Source organism: Homo sapiens, chromosome 4 (genome assembly GCF_000001405.40).
Source record: "Homo sapiens chromosome 4, GRCh38.p14 Primary Assembly".
NCBI classification, from domain to species: Eukaryota; Metazoa; Chordata; class Mammalia; order Primates; family Hominidae; genus Homo; species Homo sapiens.
The window spans coordinates 70,422,426-70,446,149 of NC_000004.12; the positions used below are offsets into that span (position 1 = coordinate 70,422,426).

Genomic DNA, 23,724 nt, shown 5'->3' on the forward strand with positions numbered 1-23,724 from the left:
CTGTATTTCCTGAATCTGAATGTTGGCCTGCCTTGCTAGATTGGGGAAGTTCTCCTGGATAATATCCTGCAGATTGTTTTCCAACTTGGTTCCATCCTCCCCGTCACTTTCAGGTACACCAATCAGATGTAGGTTTGGTCTTTTCGCATAGTCCTATATTTCTTGGAGGCTTTGTTCATTTCTTTTTATTCTTTTTTTCTCTAAACTTCCCTTCTCACTTCATTTCATTCATTTCGTCTTCCATCACTGATATCCTTTCTTCCAGTTGATTGCATCGGCTCCTGAGGCTTCTGCGTTCTTCATGTAGTTCTCGAGCCTTGGCTTTCGGCTCCATCAGCTCCTTTAAGGACTTCTCTGCGTTGGTCATTCTAGTTATCCATTCATCTAATTTCTTTTCACAGTTTTTAACTTCTTTGCCATTGGTTTGAATTTCCTCCTGTAGCTCAGAGTAGTTTGATCGTCTGAAGCCTTCTTCTCTCAGCTCGTCAAAGTCATTCTCTGTCCAGCTTTGTTCCATTGCTGGTGAGGAGCTGCATTCCTTTGGAGGAGGAGAGGCGCTCTGCTTTTTAGAGTTTCCAGTTTTTCTGCTCTGTTTTTTCCCCATCTTTGTGGTTTTATCTACTTTTGGTCTTTGATGATGGTGATGTACAGAAGGGTTTTTGGTGTGGATGTCCTTTCTCTTTGTTAGTTTTCCTTCTAACCGACGGGACCCTCAGCTGCAGGTCTGTTGGAGTTTGCTAGAAGTCCACTCCAGACCCTGTTTGCCTGGGTATCAGCAGCGGTGGCTGTAGAACAGCGGATCTTGGTGAACTGTAAATGCTGCTGCCTGATCATTCCTCTGGAAGTTTTGTCTCAGAGGAGTACCTGGCCGTGCGAGGTGTCAGTCTGCCCCTACTGGGGGGTGCCTCCCAGTTAGGCTGCTCGGGGGTCAAGGACCCACTTGAGGAGGCAGTCTGCCCATTCTCAGATCTCCAGCTGCATGCTGGGACAACACTCCTCTCTTCAAAGCTGTCAGACAGGGACATTTAAGTCTGCAGAGGTTACTGCTGTCTTTTTGTTTGTCTGCGCCCTGCCCCCAGAAGTGGAGCCTACAGAGGCAGGCAGGCCTCCTTGAGCTGTGGTGGGCTCCACCCAGTTGGAGCTTCCCAGCTGCTTTGTTTACCTAATCAAGCCTGGGCAATGGCAGGCGCCCCTTCCCCAGCCTTGCTGCCGCCTTGCTGTTTGATCTCAGACTGCTGTGCTAGCAATCAGTGAGACTCCATGGGCGTAGGACCCTCCAAGCCATGTGCAGGATATAATCTCCTGGTGTGCCATTTTTTAAGCCCATTGGAAAAGCACAGTATTAGGTTGGGAGTGACCTGATTTTCCAGGAGCCATCTGTCACCCCTTTCTTTGACTAGGAAAGGGAACTCCCTGACCCCTTGTGCTTCCTGAGTGAGACAATGCCTTACCCTGCTTCGGCTCGTGCATGGTGCACTGCACCCACTGTCCTGTACCCACTGTGTGTCACTCCCTAGTGAGATGAATACGGTACCTCAGGTGGAAATGCAGAAATCACCCGTCTTCTGCATCGCTCATGCTGGGAGCTGTAGCCCGGAGCTGTTCCTATTCGGCCATCTTGGCTCCACCCCCAAATAAAACTTCTTAAAAATTCAATCATAAAGAAAAAATACAGCCAAACATTGTCAAAAAATATCAGACTAGTGAAGGATAATATGAGGTCAATGTGATTAAACACAAATAACATAGATGCTCAAAACTGAAGCCAAAAGCATCACTGAACAGAAAAGCAAACAGGCAAAACATCATCAGAGACATCTCCCACTATTCCATCAACATCCCTATCCTGGTCAACCAAAACTTCAACCTAAGGTGCCTTCACTTTGAAAGTAGTACAAAAATGCTATTCTGTTTCACCTTATTATTGTACATGTAAACTGTTTCAATGACAGGGCACACAAAAACATCATCAAATCAAGCCAGTAAAAAAACTCCATCCTCACTCACATAAATATCCCAATAAGCCATCAATTAAACCTCACTCACATCATCATTATCCTCCAGTAGTGCCCCATACACTTCAACCTGAAAAGTTACTACCACATCCAACAACTTCTAAACCTGTAGCCTCCACCATGGCTGCTGGCAACAAAGCTACTGCTATCAAGACAGTGGCACTTACTACTAAACTTCCTCCACCTCTATTCCTATGGAGAATACCACTGAAATGATCACTAGTAAACTTCTATTAGCTCCCACTAACAAGAACATGAGAGTGCCACCACCAGTTTCACTGTCATTGTCAAATTAGTAGCTGATATCATGAAATTCATCACTTTACTTATGAGCATAAAATGTATCCTCACCACCAAAACTCTGGCCACCAACACAAAAGTTTCTGTATCTACCAGGATGCTCTTCACAATACTTCAACCTTCTCTATATATATCATCTCCACCTAATCAATTACTGCTAAGGCTACATCTGCTACCAGCTCTTCATCAGATGCCACCAACATCAATTCACTTCCCACAAACACTTCCTGATGGGAGCAGGCCACCCAAAATCTGGCCATAAAGTGGCCCCAAAACTGGCCATAAACAAAATCTCTGCAGCACTGTAACATGTTCATAATGGCCCTAACACCCACGCTGGAAGGTTGTGGGTTTACTGGAATGAGGGCAAGGAACACCTGGACCGCCCAAGGCAGAAAACCACTTAAAGGTATTCTTAAGCCACAAACAATAGCATGAGCGATCTGTGCCTTAAAGACATGCTCCTGCTGCAGTTAACTAGCCCAACCTATTCCTTTAATTCAGCCCATCCCTTCATTTCCCATAAGGAATACTTTTAGTTAATTTAATATCTATAGAAACAATCCTAATGACTGGTTTGCTGTTAATAAATATGTGGGTAAATCTCCATTCAGGACTCTTAGCTCTGCAGGCTGTGAGACCCCTGATTTCCCAATTCACACCTCTATATTTCTGTGTGTGTGTCTTTAATTCCTCTAGCGCCACTGGATTAGGGCCTCCCTGACTGAGCTGGTCTTGGCAACTTCCCAATCCATGACAACTGCCTCCACCCCCACTGCCAGTATCACATCAATTTGCATATCTACTACCAGTCAAGTTGGAAGTACCTTCAAAACTGCTGAAACTATCAGCACACTTGCTTCCACAGATGTCACCATAGCTATTGATCTGAAATCTAGAAGCACCACTTCTAATGCCACAAACTTATTTAAGACTTTTGCCACAGATATGATTGCAATCAGCATATCTATTGCATTTACCTTGAAAGGTGAGACAGCTGAAGTTTCAACATTTAACGTTTTATCTACATATGAACCTACTAACCATATATGGATGATACTATTTCATCACTGTCTTTACAACACCTGCAGTCACTGCTGCCACTACCATATCTGAAGCTTCAGTACCTACCACACCTGCTCTTACATATTCTCCTTCTACTCCTATCTCTATATCTGATGTTGTTAGTAATCTGTCTATCTGACCATATCTAGGGACTTTCCCCCAACATCAATTGACATGTCAATTGTCAACGTTTCTCCTGCCACCACTCCCCTGACAACTATACTTGCACATCTGCACTTACTAATACCAGCCCCCACCACAGTTGCTCTCTCTGCCTCACCTGGAGGTACTACCAGCCACTCCCGCTGTCACCCTTTACCACCACTGTGGCCTACACTGCCCTTTCTCCCATAGGCACAGCTTCCCCTACAAGGTCCAACCTTACTACCACTTCTACTTCCATTTTCCCAGAGGCTGCCACAGCTACTCTCTGCAACACCAGCTGCCACTACTGTTTCTGGAACAAGAGCTTCTTCTACCACATCTGGATCATCTCTGATATTGTTTGGATTTGTATCCCCACCCAAATCTCACATCAATTGTAATCCTCAATGTTGGGAGAGGGACATAGTGGGAGGTGGGTGATTGGATCATGGGCACGGATTTCCCCCTTGCTGTTCTTATAATAGTGTGTCCTTACAAGATCCCCTTGTTTAAAAGTGCATAGCACCTCCCCCCTTTGCTCTCTTCCTCCTGCTCCAGCCATGTAGGATATGCCAGCTTCCCCTTCACCTTCCGCCATGATTGTAAGTTTCCTGAGGCCTCCCCAACCACGTTTCTTGTACAGCCTGCAGAACTGTGAGCCAATTAAACCTCCTTTCTTCATAAATTACCCAGTCTTGGGTAGCTCTTTATAGCAATGGGAGAACAGACTAACACAATCTCCCCTAGCAAGAACCACATCTTCTGTCACCACTCTAGCTGCCATCACTGCACTGGCTCTCATCACAGTTTTACTTACCACCTCTTATACTTAAACCCACTGTTTCTCTTTCTACCACTACACTGGCAGTCACCAATACTTCCTCAGGTTCCTCCATCACTGCTACCACTAATACTTGGTCTGATTCCACCACATCTTTTAACATTTCATCAGCTTCCATTACATCTGCTGCCTCCAGCTCACAATATAACTGTGACCACCTTAATCCCACAGACATTCCTACTTCCTCTATCTCAACTGCCTCATCTACACTCTTTGACTCTACCATACTTGAAATTGATTTTGCCTACTTCCTCTATATAGTAAATGCCCTAGTCCCCACAGAGGATGTGACAACATCTTATCCCAATGCATTTGATAATATTACACTTGATTATGAACCTGACACCACTGATCTCCACATAAGCACAACTGATTTCATCAGTTCTTCTAATGCTTTTACAAACTCTGATATTACCAATGACTGAATATTCCTACACACATATAAGCTAACTTCTCATTCCAAACTCTATATACCCACTGCTGTTTTATTTATCACCACTCTCTGCAACACCAGCTGCCACTACTGTTTCTGGAACAAGAGCTTTTTCTACCACATCTGGATCATCTCTGATATGGTTTGGATTTATGTCCCCACCCAAATCTCATTTCGAATTGTAATCCTCAGTGTTGGAGGATGGACCTAGTGGGAGGTGATTGGATCATGGAGCTGGTAATTCTAATATTTACCACTTTATGTCAATCATGGGGTTGACAGGCAGACATACAGATAATTACTGAAAGACCTAACCTGACACCAAAAGCTTTGTAATGATTATTTCTTCTAAGAAATGTGTTATATTGTATATAAATTAAATATATGTTTATTTGATGTTATAAGGAAATACAATCACTATGCTGATGCTATGGATTGTTGGGGAAAAAATTTAAGGAAAGTATAGGAAGAATCAATATCATTAAAATGGCCATACTGCCCAAAGCAACTTATAAATTTAATGCTATTCCTATCAAACTACCAATGACATTCTTCACAGAACTAGAAAGAACTATTTTAAAATTTATATGGAACAACAAAGAGCCTGAATAGCCAAGGCAATCCTGAGCAAAAAGAACGAAGCTGGGGCATCACATTATCCGATTTCAAACTGAAGTAGGGGTTGGGAATTGACCCCAGAGGCAGGGCTCAGACACAGACCACATTGAAGACTATCTAAAACAGGGCAGGGTCAAAAGAAGCTTTCAATCAGACCAACCCACTAGTGTGCCAAGTCAATTTACTGTTGTCATGGCAACATCTGGGAGTTACTGTCCATTTCCATGGCACTCAATAATCCAAAAGTTACTACCCCTTCCCTGCATAAACCACCCCTTAAACTGCATGCAATTAAAAATGGGTATAAAGATGACCCCAAAATTGCCCTAAACTGCTACTCTCTGCCTACAGGAGTATCTCTGCTCTGCAGGAGCAGTCAAGGAGTTATAACACCACTGGAGCTGTAACACTGCCTGTTCAATAAAGCTTTTTTCTTCTCCCTCTGGCTTGCCCTTGAATTCTTTCTTGGGCAAAGCCAGGAGCCCTCCCAGACTAAGCTCCACTTTGGGGCTCACCTGCCCTGCATCAAAACTTTACTACAGGGCTACAGTAGCCAAAACAGCATGGTACTGTTATAAAAAACAGACACATAGATCAATGGAACAAAATAGAGAGCCCAGAAATAAGAACACACACCTATGAGCATCTGTTCTTTGACACAGCTGACAAAAAAAAAGAAATGGGGAAAGGACTCCCTGTTTGATAAATAATGCTTGGATAACTGGCTAGCCACATGCAAAAGATTGAAATGGGACTCTTTCCACAGACAAAAATCAACTCAAGATGGATTAAACACTTAAATGTAAAACCCCAAAATATAAAAATCCTGGAAGACAACGTAGGCAATACAATTCTGGACATTGAAACAGGTAAAGATTTCATGATGAAGACACCAAAAGCAATTGCAACAAAACCAAAAATTGATGAATGAAATCTAATTAAACTTAAAAGAAACCATCAACAAGGTAAACAGACAACCTACAGACTGTGAGAAAAAATTTGCAAACTATGCATCAGATAAAGGTCTAATATCCAGCATCTAGAAGAAACTTAAACAAATTTACAAGAAAAAAAAACAACCCCATTAAAATGTGGGCAGATGACATAAACAGACAGTTTTCAAAAGATGACATACATGCAGCCAACAAGTATATGAAAAAAAGTTCAATATCACTGATCATTAGAGAAATGCAAATCAAAACCACAATGAGATACCATCTCACGCCAGTCAGAATGACTATTACTAAAAAGTCAAAAAATAACAGATGCTGGCAAGGTTGCAGAGAAAAGAGAACACTTATACACTGTTGGTGGGAGTGTAAATTAGTTGAACCATTGTGTAAAGAAATGTAGTGATTCATCAAAGAACTAAAAACAGAACTACCATTCAATCCAGCAATCCCATTGCTTGGTAAATACTCAGAGGAATACAAATCATTCTACCATAAAAATGCACATGAATGTTCATTGAAGCACTGTCCACAATAGTAAAAACATGGAATCAACCTAAATGCCCATCAATAACAGACTGGATAAAGAAAATCTGTACATATGCATGATGGAATACTATGCAGCCATAAAGAAGAACGAGATCATGTATTTTGCAGAAACATGGATGGAGCTGGAAGCCATTATCCTTGGCAAACTAATGCAGAAAGAGAAAACCAAATACCACATATTCTCACTTATAAGCGTGAGCTAAATGATGAGAATTCATGGACACAAAGAAAGGAATAACAGACACTGGGGCCTACTTGAGGGTGAAGGGTGGGAGGAAGGAGAGGAGCCAAAAAACTAAATACTGGGTACAATGATTAGTACCTAGGTGATGAAATAATCTGTACAACAAACCCTCATGATATGAGTTTAACTATATAACAAACCTTCACATGTACCCTGGACCTAAAGTAAAAGTTAAAAAAAGAAGAAAAAAATCTGAAGATGAAATGCAAACTACTCAGATTAACTAATATTAGATATAAGAAAAGTATGATATTTAAAAAACTGATGGTAATATCATCAAGAACAACTCTCATCAGACTGAACAAAAAATTTTAGTGAGCCTACAAAAATGTGAAAGGGTTATGGCTCTGTTCACAAGGCATCTGTTTTTGTTGTTGTTACTTTTTCTCTATTTCATTTATTTCTGCCCTTATATCGCTTTCTTTTTTCTCTTGACGTATTTTGTTGCTTTTGCGAAGTTCTAAGAGATGCTAAAACTTTAGCTCATATATTTTCAGTCTTTCTTATTTTTTTATAAATATTTGAGAGCTAGAAGTTGCATTTCCCTTTGTATCCCATAAATACTGGTTTTTTGTGTTTCGCTTTTATTCAGCTATAAATATTTTGTAATTTCCTTTATTAATTATTTTATAGTCTCAAATGTATTAACATGTGATTTCATTCATATGCGTAGGGATATTTTTAGCTAGCCTGATTTCTATTGATTAGCAAGTGAGTCTACTATGACCCCAAAAATAATCGACACAGATACTTCTATTGAGAGCACATACTTAACCAGAGGAAAATATGCATATTAAGACACAATCCACTGTTTCTCAGGAAGTAATCAAGGTACAAAGGACAACTGTCAACTGAACAAACAACCAACCATTCTTGGTATAAAAGCCTCAATCCACACATGACCTTTACTCAATTACAGTATTTCCTATTCCTAAAAGAATCTAGTAGGAAGGCTATAAGAAATGTTCTCTTACTGATCCTTCTTATTTGCCACCTTAGATTTTAAGTTGCTTCTTGGCTACCAAAATGCCTAGACACAGTAACTAACAAGAATTCAACTGACAAGTAGTTTGACCAGACTTGGAGGAAGGATTCCTTCAAAGGTAGGTACCTGGGAATTCACAAATTAAGACTTTTGAATAGAGAATCAAGGTTATTTTTTTAAGCATTGCATTTCTAATGATTACTGTAAAAATCCACTGGTAGAACAGCATTTCTAAATGTTCTTCTAGATTAAAATATGGTTAGTAATGCTATTTTATTTTTCTAATCTTCAATGTAATTTAACAGTATGACAAAAAATTCATGAGATTTCATAGGACTAATACTAGTGAACTCCACATTCTTCCTAATTTACCATGTCTTGATTTTCTCTTCTACTGGCAAATAATTTTTTAACATTAGTGATATTTCCTGTCTATCTGACATTAGTCCTAAAATAATTCACTGTATGGGGAGCTGTATGCTACTTTTCAGTATGTAATGGTTATATCTAGTTTACTTACATTTTGGCTAAGAAAAACTCCAAATAAGAAGAAAAAAAGACCACAAAAATCTTTGATCTCCAGGGGGAAAAACAGCTTTGCCCTAGATAAGGTCTTAGATGCCATGAAACCAAGAACATATGAGAAAAATGTTTTTACAATAGACTTTTTTCTTTGTATTGTATTTACTTTTTTTTCATTTGTAACAAGGCCAAAAAGGCTTTTATTTGCCTTATAGAGTCAATTCAACAAAACTGTGTTTAGTGCTTACCTTACACAAGACAATGTGCTCTGTGTTGGGAATACAGATACAAACAATAAACATCTTCAAACACAAAGAGTTCATGGTAGATGAAGTCAGAGGGTATTTTTCATGAATTTAAGAGCATATGATTTTCATTCCTACTAGTGGGTTTTTTTTGGGGGGGTGGGAGATGAATATACAACTATTCTAGAAGTATATAATGTTTTAAAAGAGAAAACTGAAACTGTTTCCAGATCAAGGTTATATCACAATTCTTTAGGCAATAACATTTGATTTAATCAGTTGTAGTTTTCATTGGAATTACATAAATGTTATTTCTTATTCAACCGTAGTAACATTAGATGAATATGCACTTATTAACCAATTTCACAGCTTTGAGGGTAAGTCTGGTTTAAATTATGGGTTTCAATTTTTTTATTTTTTTATTATTATACTTTAAGTTCTAGGGTACATGTGCACAACGCGCAGGTTTCTTACATATGTATACATGTGCCATGTTGGTGTGCTGCACCCATTAACTCGTCAGTAACATTAGGTATATCTCCTAATGCTATCCCTCCCCTCTGCCCCCACCCCACGACAGGCCCCGGTGTGTGATATTCCCCTTCCTGTGTCCAAGTGTTCTCATTGTTCAATTCCCACCTATGAGTAAGAACATGCAGTGTTTGGTTTTTTGTCCTCATGATAGTTTGCTGAGAATGATGGTTTCCAGCTTCATCCATGTGCCTACAAAAGACATGAACTCATCCTTTTTTATGGCTGCATAGTATTCCATGGTGTATATGTGCCACAATTTCTTAATTCAGTCTATCATTGATGGACATTTGGGTTGGTTCCAAGTCTTTGCTATTGCGAATAGCGCCACAATAAGCATACCTGTGCATGTGTCTTTATAGCAGCATGATTTATAATCCTTTGGGTATATATCCAGTAGTGGGATGGCTGGGTCAAATGGTATTTCTAGTTTTAGATCCTTGAGGAATCACCACACTGTCTTCTATAATGGTTGAACTAGTTTACAGTCCCACCAACAGTGTAAAAGTGTTCCATTTCTCCACATCCTCTCCAGCACCTGTTGTTTCCTGAATTTTTAATGATCGCCATTCTAACTGGTGTGAGATGGTATCTGGTTGTGGTTTTGATTTGCATTTCTCTGATGGCCAGTGATGATGAGCATTTTTTCATGTGTCTGTTGGCTGCATAAATGTCTTCTTTTGAGAAATGTCTGTTCGTATCTTTTGCCCACTTTTTGATGGGGTTTTTTTCTTGTAAATTTGTTTAAGCTCTTTGTAGATTCTTGATATTAGCCCTTTAGTAGATTGCAAAAATTTTCTCCCATTCTGCAGGTTGCCTGTTTATTCTGATAGTAGTTTCTTTTGCTGTGCAGAAGCTCTTTAGTTTAATTAGATCCCATTTGTCAATTTTGGCTTCTGTTGCCATTGCTTTTGGTGTAGACATGAAGTCCTTGCCCATGTCTATGTCCTGAATGGTATTGCCTAGGTTTTCTTCTAAGGTTTTTATGGTTTTAGGTCTAATATGTAAGTCTTTAATCCATCTTGAATTAATTTTTGAATAAGGTGTAAGGAAGGGATCCAGTTTCAGCTTTCTACATATGGCTAGCCAGTTTTCCCGACACCACTTATTACATAGGGAATCCTTTCCCCATTGCTTGCTTTTGTCAGGTTTGTCCAAGATCAGATGGTTGTAGATCTATGGTATTATTTCTGAAGGCTCTGTTCTGTTCCATTGGTCTATATATCTGTTTTGGTACCAGTACCATGCTGTTTTGGTTACTGTAGCCTTGTAGTAAAGTTTGAAGTCAGGTAGCATGATGCCTCCAGCTTTGTTCTTTTTACTTAGGATTGTCTGGCTATGGGGTCTCTTTTTTGGTTCCATATGAAATTTAAAGTAGTTTTTTTCTAATTCTGTGAAGAAAGTCAGTGGTAGCTTGATGGAGATAGCACTGAATCTATAAATTACCTTGGGCAGTATGGCCATTTTCAAGATATTGATTCTTCCTACCCATGAGCATGGAAATTTCTTCCATTTGTTTGTGTCCTCTTTTATTTTGTTGAGCAGTGGTTTGTAGTTCTCCTTGAAGAGATCCTTCACATCCCTCGTAAATTGTATTCTTAGGTATTTTATTTTCTTTGTAGTAATTGTGAATGGGAGTTCACTCATGATTTTCTCTCAGTTTGTTATTGGTGTATAGGAATGCTTGTGATATTTGCATATTGATTTTGTATCCTGAGAACTTGCTGAAGTTGCTTATCAGCTTAAGGAGATTTTGGGCTGAGACAATGTGTTTTCTAAATATACAATCATGTCATCTGCAAACAGGGACAATTTGACTTCCTCTTTTCCTAATTGAATACCCTTTATTTCTTTCTCTTGCCTGATTGTCCTGGCCAGAACTTCCAACACTATGTTGAATAGGAGTGGTGAGAGAGGGTATCCCCATCTTGTGCCAGTTTTCAAAGGGAATGCTTCCAGTTTTTGCCCATTCAGTATAATATTGGCTGTGGGATTGTCATAAATAGCTCTTATTAATTTGACATATGTTCCATCAATACCTAGTTTACTGAGAGTTTTTAGCATGACAGGCTGTTGAATTTTGTCGAAGGCCTTTTCTGCATCTATTGAGATAATCATGTGATTTTTGTCATTGGTTCTGTTTACATGATGGATTACGTTTATTGATTTATGTTGAACCAGCCTTGCATCACAAGGACGAAGCTGACTTGATCTTGGTGGGTAAGCTTCTTGATGTGCTGCTGGATTAAGTTTGCCAGTATTTTATTGAGGATTTTTGCATCAATGTTCATTAGCAAAACTGGCCTAAAATTAACTTTTTTTGTTGTGTCTCTGCCAGGTTTGGTATCAGGATGATGCTGGCCTCATAAAATGAGTTAGGGAGGATTCCCTCTTTTTCTACTGATTGGAATAGTTTCAGAAAGAATGGTACCAGCTCCTCTTTATACCTCTGGTAGAATTCAGCTGTGAATCCATCTGGTCCTGGACTTTTTTTGTTGGTAAGCTATTAATTATTGCCTCAATTTCAGAACTTGTTATTGGTCTATTCAGAGATTCAACTTCTTCCTAGTGTACTCTTGGGAGGGTGTATGTGTCCAGGAATTTATCCATTTCTTCTAAATTTTCTAGTTTATTTGCATAGAGGTGTTTATAGTATTCTCTGATGGTAGCTTATATTTCTGTGAGATAGGTGGTGATATCCCCTTTATCATTTTTTATTGCATCTATTTGATTCTTCTCTCTTTTCTTATTAGTCTTGCTAGCAGTCTATTTTGCTGATCTTTTCAAAATACCAGCTCCTGGATTCATTGATTTTTTGAAGGGCTTTTTGTGTCTCTACCCCCTTCAGTTCTGATCTTAATAATTTCTTGCCTTCTGCGAGCTTTTGAAAGTGTTTGCTCTTGCTTCTCTAGTTCTTTTAATTGTGATGTGAGGGTGTCGATTTTGGATCTTTCCTGCTTTCTCTTGTGGGCATTTAGTGCTATAAATTTCCCTCTACACACTGCTTTAATTGTGTTCGAGAGATTCTGGTATGTTGTGTCTTTGTTCTCGTTGGTTTCAAAGAACATCTTTATTTCTGCCTTCATTTCATTATGTACCCAGTAGTCATTCAGGAGCAGATTGTTCAGTTTCCATGTAGTTGTGCGGTTTTGAGTGAGTTTCTTAATCCTGAGTTCTAGTTTGATTGCACTGTGGTCTAAGAGACAGTTTGTTGTGATTTCTGTTCTTTTATATTTGCTGAGGCATGTTTTATTTCCAATTATGTGGTCAATTTTAGAATAAGTGTGAAATGGTGCTGAGAAGAATGTATATTCTGTTGACTTGGGGTGGAGAATTCTGTAGATGTCTATTAGATCCACTTGGTCCAGAGCTGAGTTCAAGTCCTGGATATCCTTGTTAATTTACTGTCTCGTTGATCTAATATTGACAGTGGGGTATTAAAGTCTCCATTATTATTGTGTTGGAGTCTAAGTTTCTTTGTAGGTCTCTAAGAACTTGCTTTATGAATCTGGATGCTCCTGTATTGGGTGTGTATATATTTAGTACAGTTAGCTCTTCTTGTTGAATTGATCGCTTTACCATTATGTAATGGCCTCCTTTGTCTCTTTTGATCTTTGTTGGTTTAAAGTCTGTTTTATCAGAGACTAGGATTGCAACCCCTGCTTTTTCTTGCTTTCCATTTCCTTGGTAGATCTTCCTCCAACTCTGTAGTTTGAACCTATGTATATCTTTGCATGTGAGATAGGTCTCCTGAATACAGCACACTGATGGGTCTTGACTCTTTATCCCATTTGCCAGTCTATTCTTTTAATTGGGGCATTTAGCCCATTTACATTTAAGGTTAATATTGTTATGTGTGAATTTGATCCTGTCGTTATGATGCTAGCTGGTTATTTCACACATTAATTGATGCAGTTTCTTCCTAGCATCAATGGTCTTTACACTTTGGCATGTTTTTGCAGTGGTTGGTACCGGTTTTTCCTCTCCATGTTTAGTGCTTCCTTCAGGAACTCTTGTAAGGCAGGCCTGGTGGTGATAAAATCTCTTCACATTTGCTTGTCTGTAAAGGATTTTATTTCTCCTTCACTTATGAAGCTTAGTTTGGCTGGATATGAAATTCCAGGTTGAAAATTATTTTCTTTAAGAATGTTGAATATTGGCCCCCACTCTCTTCTGGCTTGTAGGGTTTCTGCCCACAGATCTGCTGTTAGTCTGATGAGCTTCCCTTTGTGAGTAGCCTAACCTTTCTCTCTGGCTGCCCTTAACATTTTTGCCTTCATTTCAACCTTGGTGAATCTGACAATCATGTGTCTTGGGGTTGCTCTTCTCGAGGAGTATCTTTCTGGTGTTCTCTGTATTTCCTGAATTTGAATGTTGGCCTGCCTGCTAGGTTGGGGAAGTTCTCCTGGATATATCCTGAAGAGTGTTTTCTAATTTGGTTCCATTCTCACCATCACTTTAAGGTATACCAATCAAACGTAGATTTGGTCTTTTCACATAGTCCCATATTTCCTGGAGGCTTTGTTCATTTCTTTTCACTTTTTTTTCTCTAGTCTTGTCTTCTCACTTTATTTCATTAATTTGATCTTCAATCATTGATACCCTTCCTTCGCTTGATAAAATCGGCTATTGAAGCTTGTGTATGCTTCAAAAAGTTCTCATGCTGTGGTTTTCAGCTCCATCAGGTCATTCTCTTCTCTACACTTGTTATTCTAGTTAGCCATTCGTCTAACCTTTTTTCAATGTTTTTAGCTTCCTTGCAATGGGTTAGAACATGCTCCTTTAGCTCAGAGAAGTTTGTTATTACCAACCTTCTGAAGCCTACTTCTGTCAATTCGTCAAACTCATTCTTTGTCCAGCTTTGTTTCCTTGCTGGCAAGGAGCTGTGTTCCTTTGGAGGAAAAGAGGCGTTTTGGTTTTTGGAATTTTCAGCTTTTCTGTTCTGGTTTCTCCCCATCTTTATGGTTTTATCTATCTTTGGTCTTTGATGTTGATGACCTACAGATGGGGTTTTGGTGTGGATGTCCTTTTTGTTGATGTTGATGCTATTTCTTTCTGTTTGTTAGTTTTCCTTCTAACAGACAGGCCCCTCAGCTGCAGGTCTGTTGGAGTTTGCTGGAGGTCTACTCCAGACCCTGTTTGCTGGGTATCACCAGCAGAGGCTGCAGAACAGCAAATATTGCTACCTGATCCTTCCTCTGGAAGCTTCATCCCAGAAGGGTACCCACCTGTATGAGGTGTCTGTCAGCCCCTACCGGGAGATGTCTTCCAGTCAGGCTACACAGGGGTCCCGGACCCACTTGAGGAGGCAGTCTGTCTGTTCTCAGAGCTGGAATGCCGTGCTGGAAGAACCACTGCTCTCTTCAGAGCTGTCAGGCAGGGACGTTTAAGTCTGCAGAAGCTGTCTGCTGCCTTTTGTTCAAGTATGCCCTGATCCCAGAGGTGGAATCTAGAGAGGCAGTAGCCTTGCTGAGCTGCAGTGGGCTCCACCCAGTTTGAGCTTCCCTGCCTCTTTGTTTACATTGTGAGCATAGAACTGCCCACTCAAGCCTCAGCAATGGCAAATGCCCCTCCCCCCGCCACGCTGTAGCGTCCCAGGTCGATCTCAGACTGCTGTACTAGCAGCAAGCAAGGCTCCATGGGCGTGGGACTCACTGAGACAGTCACAGGAGAGAATCTCCTGGTCTGCTGGTTGGGAAGACCATGGTAAAAGTGCAGTATTTGTGCAGGAGTGTACTGTTCCTCCAGGTATAGTCACTTCATGGCTTCCCTTGGCTAGGAAAGGGAAATTCCCCGACTCCTTGCGCTTCCCAGGTGAGGCGACACCCCACCTTCTTTCAGCTCACTGTCTGTAGGCTGTACCCACTGTCCAACCAGTCCCAATGAGATGGACCAAGTACCTCAGTTGGAAATGCAGAAATCACCATCTTCTGCATCAGTCTCGCTGGGAGCTGTAGACTGGAGCTGTTCCTATTTGGCTACCTTGGAAGTGACTCCAGGGAGCTGCTTTTAAAAAAATCTATTCTTTACCCTCACTAAGTCCTGGAAAGGTTCATGAAGAAAATAGAGTTTGAGCAGATCTTGAATAGATGTCCATATATAAAGAGCTAGCTTTGGATACTATAAATAATTTTTAAAAGAATATAACTAATAATGCCTGTCCAGGCCTGGTTGTTTTTGAAAATCATGTGGAATGTAGAACAGCACTATCCCTTCTATCTGTAAGCTACTCAAGCTGTAAGTAATGGCTCATGTACTGGAAAGGCTTACAACCTCAAAAGAGTATCATTTTGATCTTAGAAACTTCATTTCTGTCCAGGTGCCATTTATTACCATTTCTGAATAGGTAACCACAGGGTACTGATCAACATCATCCCCAACCAAAAGTCCAGACATTGCAATATAATAAACTGCATTTGTTTTTTTCTTTCACCTTTTTACAACACAAAAATAATAACTATCATAAAGAAAGCTCAAATTCTTAAAGACTGTTGATGTTTGTTTGATAACTCCTGGAAAATATTAGCCCTGAAATAGAAAACTTAACACTTCAGGAAATGAAGTTTTGTTTTGTTTTGTTTTGTTTTGTTTTGGTTTGGTTTGGTTTTGAGACAGAGTCTCACTCTGTCACCAGGTTGGAGTGCAGTGGCGCAATCTCGGCTCACTGCAACCTCTGCCTCCCAGGTTCAAGCAATTCTCCAGCCTCAGTCTTCCAAGTACCTGGGACTACGGGCATGCACCACCACACCTGGCTAATTTTTGTATTTTTTAGTAGAGATGAGGTTTCACCATGTTGGCCAGGCTGGTCTTGAACTCCTGACCTCAGATAATCCACCCGCCTCCACCTCCCAAAGTGCTGGGATTACAGGCATGAGCCACCGCACCTGGCCAGAAATGAAGTTTCTAAGATCAAAATGATACTCTAAAAGTCTGCACTCTAGATATAAGAATCTAAATGTTTTTTCCAATAAGAATTAATAAACCTACTCCAGGTTATATTCAAGGGACACTAATACAAGGTAAACAATTGATTTATGCATTCAACATACATTTATCAAAGTCATATCATGTGGCAGGCACTGTTCAAAGAACTGGAAATACAGCATAGAAAAGAAAGAGAGTTACTGCTCTCACTGAGCCTAGTTTCATAAAGAAGGGAGGCAAATCACAAGAAACAAAATAAAGAAATTGTTTTAGACAGTGATAAAAATAAACTATGGGAACTAAAATAGGGTGAAATGATAGAGATTAAAAAGGCTAGTTTAGATTGGGTGTTTCAAAAAGCCTTTTTAAAGAGATGTCATTTAAGCTGAATAAAAAGAGAAAAAATAACAGCCAAGTGATGATATTGGAGTAGAGAATTCTAGACAAAAGTCCACCAAGGAGGGAAGAAGCTTAGCAGGTCAGAATCTGGAAGTGAGTGATTGTGAGGGAGAATAAGGTACGAGCTGGTTCCTTTAGCACCTTCTAAGTGGTGGCAAAAAGTCTGGATTTCATTCAGAAGTCAATGGGATCCCACTGGGAAGTTTAAGCAGGGGATTTGGTGCCCGACTTTTGTTTTTAAAAGCACTCTGCCTCCTGTTTGGAGATAGGCTATAGGGGATCAAAATGAAAGTCGAGAGGTTAGGTAGTAATGGAGGCCACATCATTTAGTTCATCATACCTAGTAAGACTGAACATCATATTTCTAAATAAAAGTACACATTAATATGTTTATACATTTATAATAATATAATATTTATCTTAAAGTGTTATGTTATGATTTTGTTCACACTTTTCCTCAATAATCACCATGGACCTATTGTACAATGGTTTCTTATCTTAATTTCAGTAATTTTATATGTATTATTTCAATCAAATAAGACTGTTTAGAAGTGAAAATTTAAAAGCACTATATGAATGAAATGCATTTTGTTAATCACACATGCTAATTGATAATTCATTAGAATTTAAAAATTATTATGTTTAATATCTTTAAACATTTTAGCAGTTAAATTTCACTTATTTTAGAAATTTTTGAAAAGTTTTAATGTGATGTTTAATAGAGTTTATCTTCACAACAAAACTATGACCAGAAACTCTGTTTTGATAAATCAGAAAATTATTTTTTAACTCCAAGATACTATCAGCATTAGTTATTATTATTCATTTCTTAGTCCTAACATATATAAAAAGAGGTCACCATATATGTCATCTCGAATGTGAAATACCTAGAGATGCACATATATGGAAAGAAGGAAGTATAATTTAAAATAATATTCAGCATAGGTTTATGTTGTTTCCTCTCATTTCTCTGATGCATGTTCCATATACTATTATATCTGCATAATATTATATTACATAAAAACTTAATTTTTAAAAGTTCCTGGAGTCAAATAGCTTTAGAAATAGAACAGAAACATTAATTTTTTTGTTTTGATTTAGCTGCAGAATTTCTCAGCATCTTTAAAATGTCATATGAATTTCATGCTCCAGTGGAGGAATATACAATAATATTTCTCATTATCAATGCTCAACTTATACCGCATGAGCACATGCATCATATCTGTCTTGTACATCTTTGAATTCCCCCGCATCTAACACTCTGCCCAGGACAAAGCAACAGTACGTAAATGATAAATAAGAAAACAAAAACAAAAGGAGAAGAAATAAAACCTAACATTTGATAGATCAGTAAGGTGACTATAGTTTATAATAATAATATGTTCCAAAATAGATAGAAAATAATTTGAATGTTTCTAGCATAAAGAAAAGACACATTTAAGGTAATGGATATCCCAATTACACTAATTTGATCTATACAAATTTTATTAATGTATTAGGTTATCACATGTACCCTGAAAATATGTATATCTATTGGACATCAATTCAAAACATAATTTAAAAATGGAGGGAGACAGAAAAATAGAAAGAATAAAAACAAAATAGAGGAAAAAGGGAGGGAAAGAGAATGGATGAGAAGAAGGAAAATTAACAGCACATCCCTTGTAGGAAAAAGACATGCTCCCTCAAAATACATTTTGAGAAACATAAGGCATGCTAAACATTTGGAAACATAAACAGTGGGCCCAGGACAGGTGGGGTGAGGGGAGCTCATGGAAGTTGGGAGGCAGAAAAAAATTATTAATATATGCAACTAATTTAAAGCATTTTAAGAGCTTCCAAAGAGTAAACTATAAAGATTGGAATAAACCCAAGTATATCAGCTATTAAACTTGATTCAATAATTTTTATTGTGTGGTATTACATGTATTTATAGGTTCTGGAAATTGAGTAGAGAAGCAGACAGATTATATCCCTACCTCCATATATCTTTCAGTCCAGTTACCTTTTTAATATTACATATGTTGTCTATAAATGTAGTCAACATTCTTGTTTAAGAACTTTATTATTATATAAATATCTTATCACATAGGGATGATAATGCTAATGAAAGAAGGCCTATAATATGCACATGAGTACAACCATTAAATGACCCAAAATGTTAGGATGAAAATACTGGAATTGATAACTCCACTATATCGGAAATACTTATAACTCATGCAGGGAGTTTCATAATGAAAAGAGAGTATCTTTAAAATAGTGTATCAGCAATAATGAGAAAAATCAATGGGTGAAGAAAGATTGGTGGCAGCATCTATATATGGAGGGAGAGGTTTTAATAAAAACTATGATGGTGAATATTCTGTCTTTCTCTCAAACAAAAAAATGGTTAATCCCTTAGCTTATATTTGCAAAGAAGTGTGAAATATAGAAAAGTTAAGATGCTTCTGAAAGGCATTGAGAAGGATGGATTTGCAGCTTTAAGTTGTAAACTAAAAGTAGACTGAAGAAAATAATTGAGTTAAAATTCACCGTAAGGCTGCAATCTGGGTTGACAAAGTAGATCTCAGTATCCAAAACTATTGCAAAAAAATAGTCTGAATGATGAAAAAGACAATTTGTCCTTTAGGCCTACCATCCATTTTAGTTCAGTTTATTTTAGTGGTTAATGGAGCACCTATTAATACAATTGAGTGGTGACCTTTAGTCAATACCCAGTTATTCAAAGAAAATATACTGTCTTAAAGGAAGCCCATTAAGGTGAGTGAATACAACTCTAGACAGGAAGATTCAAAAAAATGTGGAACAGCGAAAGGACCTTGAACAAAACCAAGTCCTCAGGACAAAGAAACTAGGATTGAAAAGATACAAAGATATTTAGAAATTCAAGAAGTTGAGGGAGCTCATTCCTAACAGCCTTGGCCAACTGAGTTAAGCATGAGTTCATCTCCTTGGTAAACACTATATTTTCTATACAACAAAAATGCTATCATACTTTGGGTTCGTATATGTACAGCTCAACCTCTCAAATAGCATCAACATACTCTTTTTGCATTTCTCCTAATGATAAAGTAATACAAGTGTATTGTAGAAAAATCAAAGAAAAACAGAAGCAAAAAAAAGTGCATTTAGGATTCTCAGACTCATGAATTCTTTGTCAGAAGGTGGCAGAGTAATAATGAGCCAGGTCTTGGCCCCTGGCCTGCAGCCCACCTGCTTCTCCTCTCATCCCTGGCTCCTCCTCCCTCCCTCCCCACCACCCCAACAGTGGTCATGTGAAAACAAATGTGTATACTCCAGGCCAAACATCCTCCTCAATTTCCCCTCCAGCCTAGGGGTACATATGCACAGTAGCAGCATGGTCACCATTTGTAGGATGAACCCAAGGAAGAGGCTTTTGCACTTTCTGGAAGTGAACTCAGGGATAGAGAAAGAAAATCTCCTGGTGATTACTCCTCTTGCCCTCTATGGCCACATGAGGGCCAAAATAAGGATCTCTAAACTTCAAGACCCAGATGAGGGATCCCTTTTGCCTGGGCTTGAAGGCAGTTCTTGCCATCTTATATGTGCTTAATGTTTTCATTTTTCTTTTTGCAGTCAAGTGGGACACAAGAGAAATAAGCCAAAAACTAGACTATTACAAAATCTTTCTTCTCAAGGACCAGCTTCACATCAGCAAGTACCTTCTTCAGTTAAAACTGGTCACATTAGACTTCAATCAAATCCATCTAGTCAAAAGATCCATGGTCTCTCAAAGTCATTTAAATTCTATTGCTTCCAGGAGATCCGAGATGAATCCTAGTCAAATTTTCCCTGTCCAACAAGGAAGTCTTCTTTCATCCCCAAACTCATGTGAACTTACTTCTTAAAACAAGTTCCAGATCTGCTAAACCTCACCCAGGAAAATCTTCACTGAAGTTCACCAAAAAATCTAAAACACCCAGATGTTTATATTCACCCTAAATTAGATCAATTCAAATCTCTTTCCATTAATTGAAGAAATTCTCAAATCAAAATTAAGCCAAACTCATTAATTTGGCCAAAAAAAAAAATCAAGATCTCAGACAAAAAGATCTAGGCAACAGGGAAATAAATATGTAAAAGAACAACCTAACACAAAAAGAATTTACCTTAAAAAAAAAACAGCCAATCAAATCCTGCGCTAAAATCTCCAACACAACAAAGTGGCCACCAACAACCAAATCACAGTAACTCAACCCCCTAACAAAAGATCTCACACTATCAAATATTATCCACACAAAGCTGTTAGAATACTACCAAGGAAATCTAAATCTCAATCCAGTACCAACAAGCAACAAAACCCATATCAACCTAAACCTGTTTCATTTTCGACTGGCAAACAAAATGGTCAGCTTCGAAGCAAGTCAAAACCACACTTTGTGCGGTTAAAACTTAATATTAGTGCAAATCCGGGAAAAAGATCAAGACAAACAAAAATCTGTCTTCCACAGCAAACTAACCAAGAAGATGTGGTACAAAAATGACTAAAATAAAACAACCTACCCACTCAAAAACTCAAGCAAAAACTTATAGATGAAAATAATTAGCACACAAAACAACAATATCAGAAGCAGAGACTGGTCCAAAAAAAAACTTGGCAAACCAAAATCACACCTAAACTGTCTTTCACACAGGAATCCTGATAAACCAAAAGCTTTTCCACAGAAAGCTGGCTCATACAAACCTCATTTAAATCCATTTAAGAAAAACAAAACTCACTTTCCACGACATAATCCAGTTCTTTCTTGTAAGCCCAAATCCACTGGACATCAACATCTTCCAGTTTCACAGCAGCCAAACTGACCCTCATTTATCACCAAATTTCCCATCCACAAGCCTTAAACCACTGCTACAAGATCGACTACAACCACTTCCACAAATATTGTGACATTTGCAATGCTAAATCTTCCACAAAGTCCATATCTGAGGCTATAGCTACCTTATCTGATGTTCCTTCCACAGATGAGATTCCTGTCAGCTCACCTCTTGACACCACGGTGGCCTCCAATAAAACACCTGGAAATATGACATTTGATGCTTTAAACCCATCAGCTTCCACACCTGCTTCCACTGGGTATTTTGCTTCTATATCCATCCCCATCCCCTCTTCCTTAGGAACCAAATCTGTGGAAAAGGCCACAACACCCGTGGTCACTGCTGCTGTCAAGACAACACAAGTCACTACTTCAGCTTCTACCACATTGAGAGTGACCAACACTAGCCTACTCCTTACAACTATCACAACACCTTCCCCTACTACCCAGTCCTCTACTTCAGCTCTATCTGCCACTACCACCACTGCACTTGCAGCCACCCGATTTGACTCAACCTCCCCATCTAATACTGAAATGGTCGCTTCTGACACCACTGCAATTGATGATGCATCTTTTTTTATAGCCACTGATTATCTTGAACCTAAAACAACCATATTTTCAACATCTATTTCTACTGTCTCTATATAATCCCTGTTGCAGTTACATCAGCTGTCAATACCATATCATATACTGGTACTTATTCTACTACTATCAGTATCAAAAATGCTATCAAGAACACTTTTGGGCCAGGTGCGGTGGCTCACACCTGTAATCCCAGCACTTTGGGAGGCCAAGGTGGGCAGATCACCTGAGGTCAGGAGTTCGAGACCAGCCTGGCCAACATGGTGAAACCCAATTTGTACTAAAAATACAAAAACTATCCAGGTGTGGGGGCATGCGCCTGTAGTTCCAGCTACTTGGGAGGCTGAGGCAAGAGAATCGCTTGAACCTGGGAGGAGGAGGTTGCACCACTCTACTCCAGCCTGGGTGACAGAGACTCTGTCTAAAAAACAAACAAACAAAACAAAACAAAAACAAACAAAAACAAAACACTTTTGTTCCCCTTGAAACCAAACGAACTTTCATTCCCTCAACTGCTCTGTTTACCATACCTGCTGCCATCAATACCACACCTGCAGCCTCCACCATACTCCTCCCATGACACCAGCTACCATTGTATCAATGATCACAACTGTGTCTGGCACAACTTCATCTATTGCCCTCAGCCACATCTGCCTCCTCCGTACTTCATATTACCTTCCTTGAAACCACAACTCCACTAACTGTTGCTCCAGCTGGTATATTAAACAAAACTAATGATGCTATAACAATTGCCCCAGCACATTTTATGACACTACATTTGATTATGAGTCTGCCATAGAAGATTATGAGTCTGCCATAGAAGATTATGTAAGCAGCACAAATAATTCATATAAATTCCTTTGATACTATTTTATCCACCACTTATTCAATAGAAATCATGTTTCAAAATCTCTCCCCTATTTAATAATGTCTTCTCTCCAGCACCACTCTAGGTGCTCAGCACAGCACCTAGTCCTCCAGACTAGGCCAAAACCACCTCTAACTGGAAAACACTTGGAGATAGGGTCATTCTGAGAAACCCATCCACATAAATCCCAACCCAGTCTGAGCTTTGTCTAAGTAAGACAACAATGCTTCCATGGAAACAAAAAAAGAGGTTCGTATAATAGACACCACCAATTGCTGAAAGGTATTAGTTGAGGGAATGAAAGCTGGATGCAAACCTAACTTGCATATTCCAGCAATCTGACTCACTGAGTCACAACACAGTTTTTCAAGGAGAATGAATGTACAACGGAACAACTGCCAAGTTTCATCAGGAGCAGCTATCTTTTCTTTGAGGAAAATGCTTCACCCCAGACATGACCTTCTCTCTGTATGTTCAAATGAATCAATTAGACAGGCATCATCTCATGGCCACTCACTCATTTGTTTTTCTGTTTCTCCTGGGCTGGAAGATGCCCAAGCACAGGGGCTGATGGGACTCTAAGAGATCTGGGAGGAAGGTCCCACTCAGGTAGGTCCTTAGGATCCACATACAGAAGCTTTTGAATACAGATCCAGGCTCTCAAATCCTTAAAT

At 39.0% G+C, this 23,724-nt stretch overlaps 1 protein-coding gene across 1 annotated transcript in view; it reads left to right on the forward strand.

Moving 5' to 3' along the window:
- The window catches only part of MUC7 (mucin 7, secreted), a 52,506-nt gene continuing 36,848 nt past the window's right edge, over window positions 8,067-23,724 (forward strand). The window contains exon 1 of the mRNA NM_001145006.2: window positions 8,067-8,262. The gene's annotated coding sequence lies outside the window, so the exon portion shown is untranslated. The remainder of the gene's footprint in view (window positions 8,263-23,724) is intronic.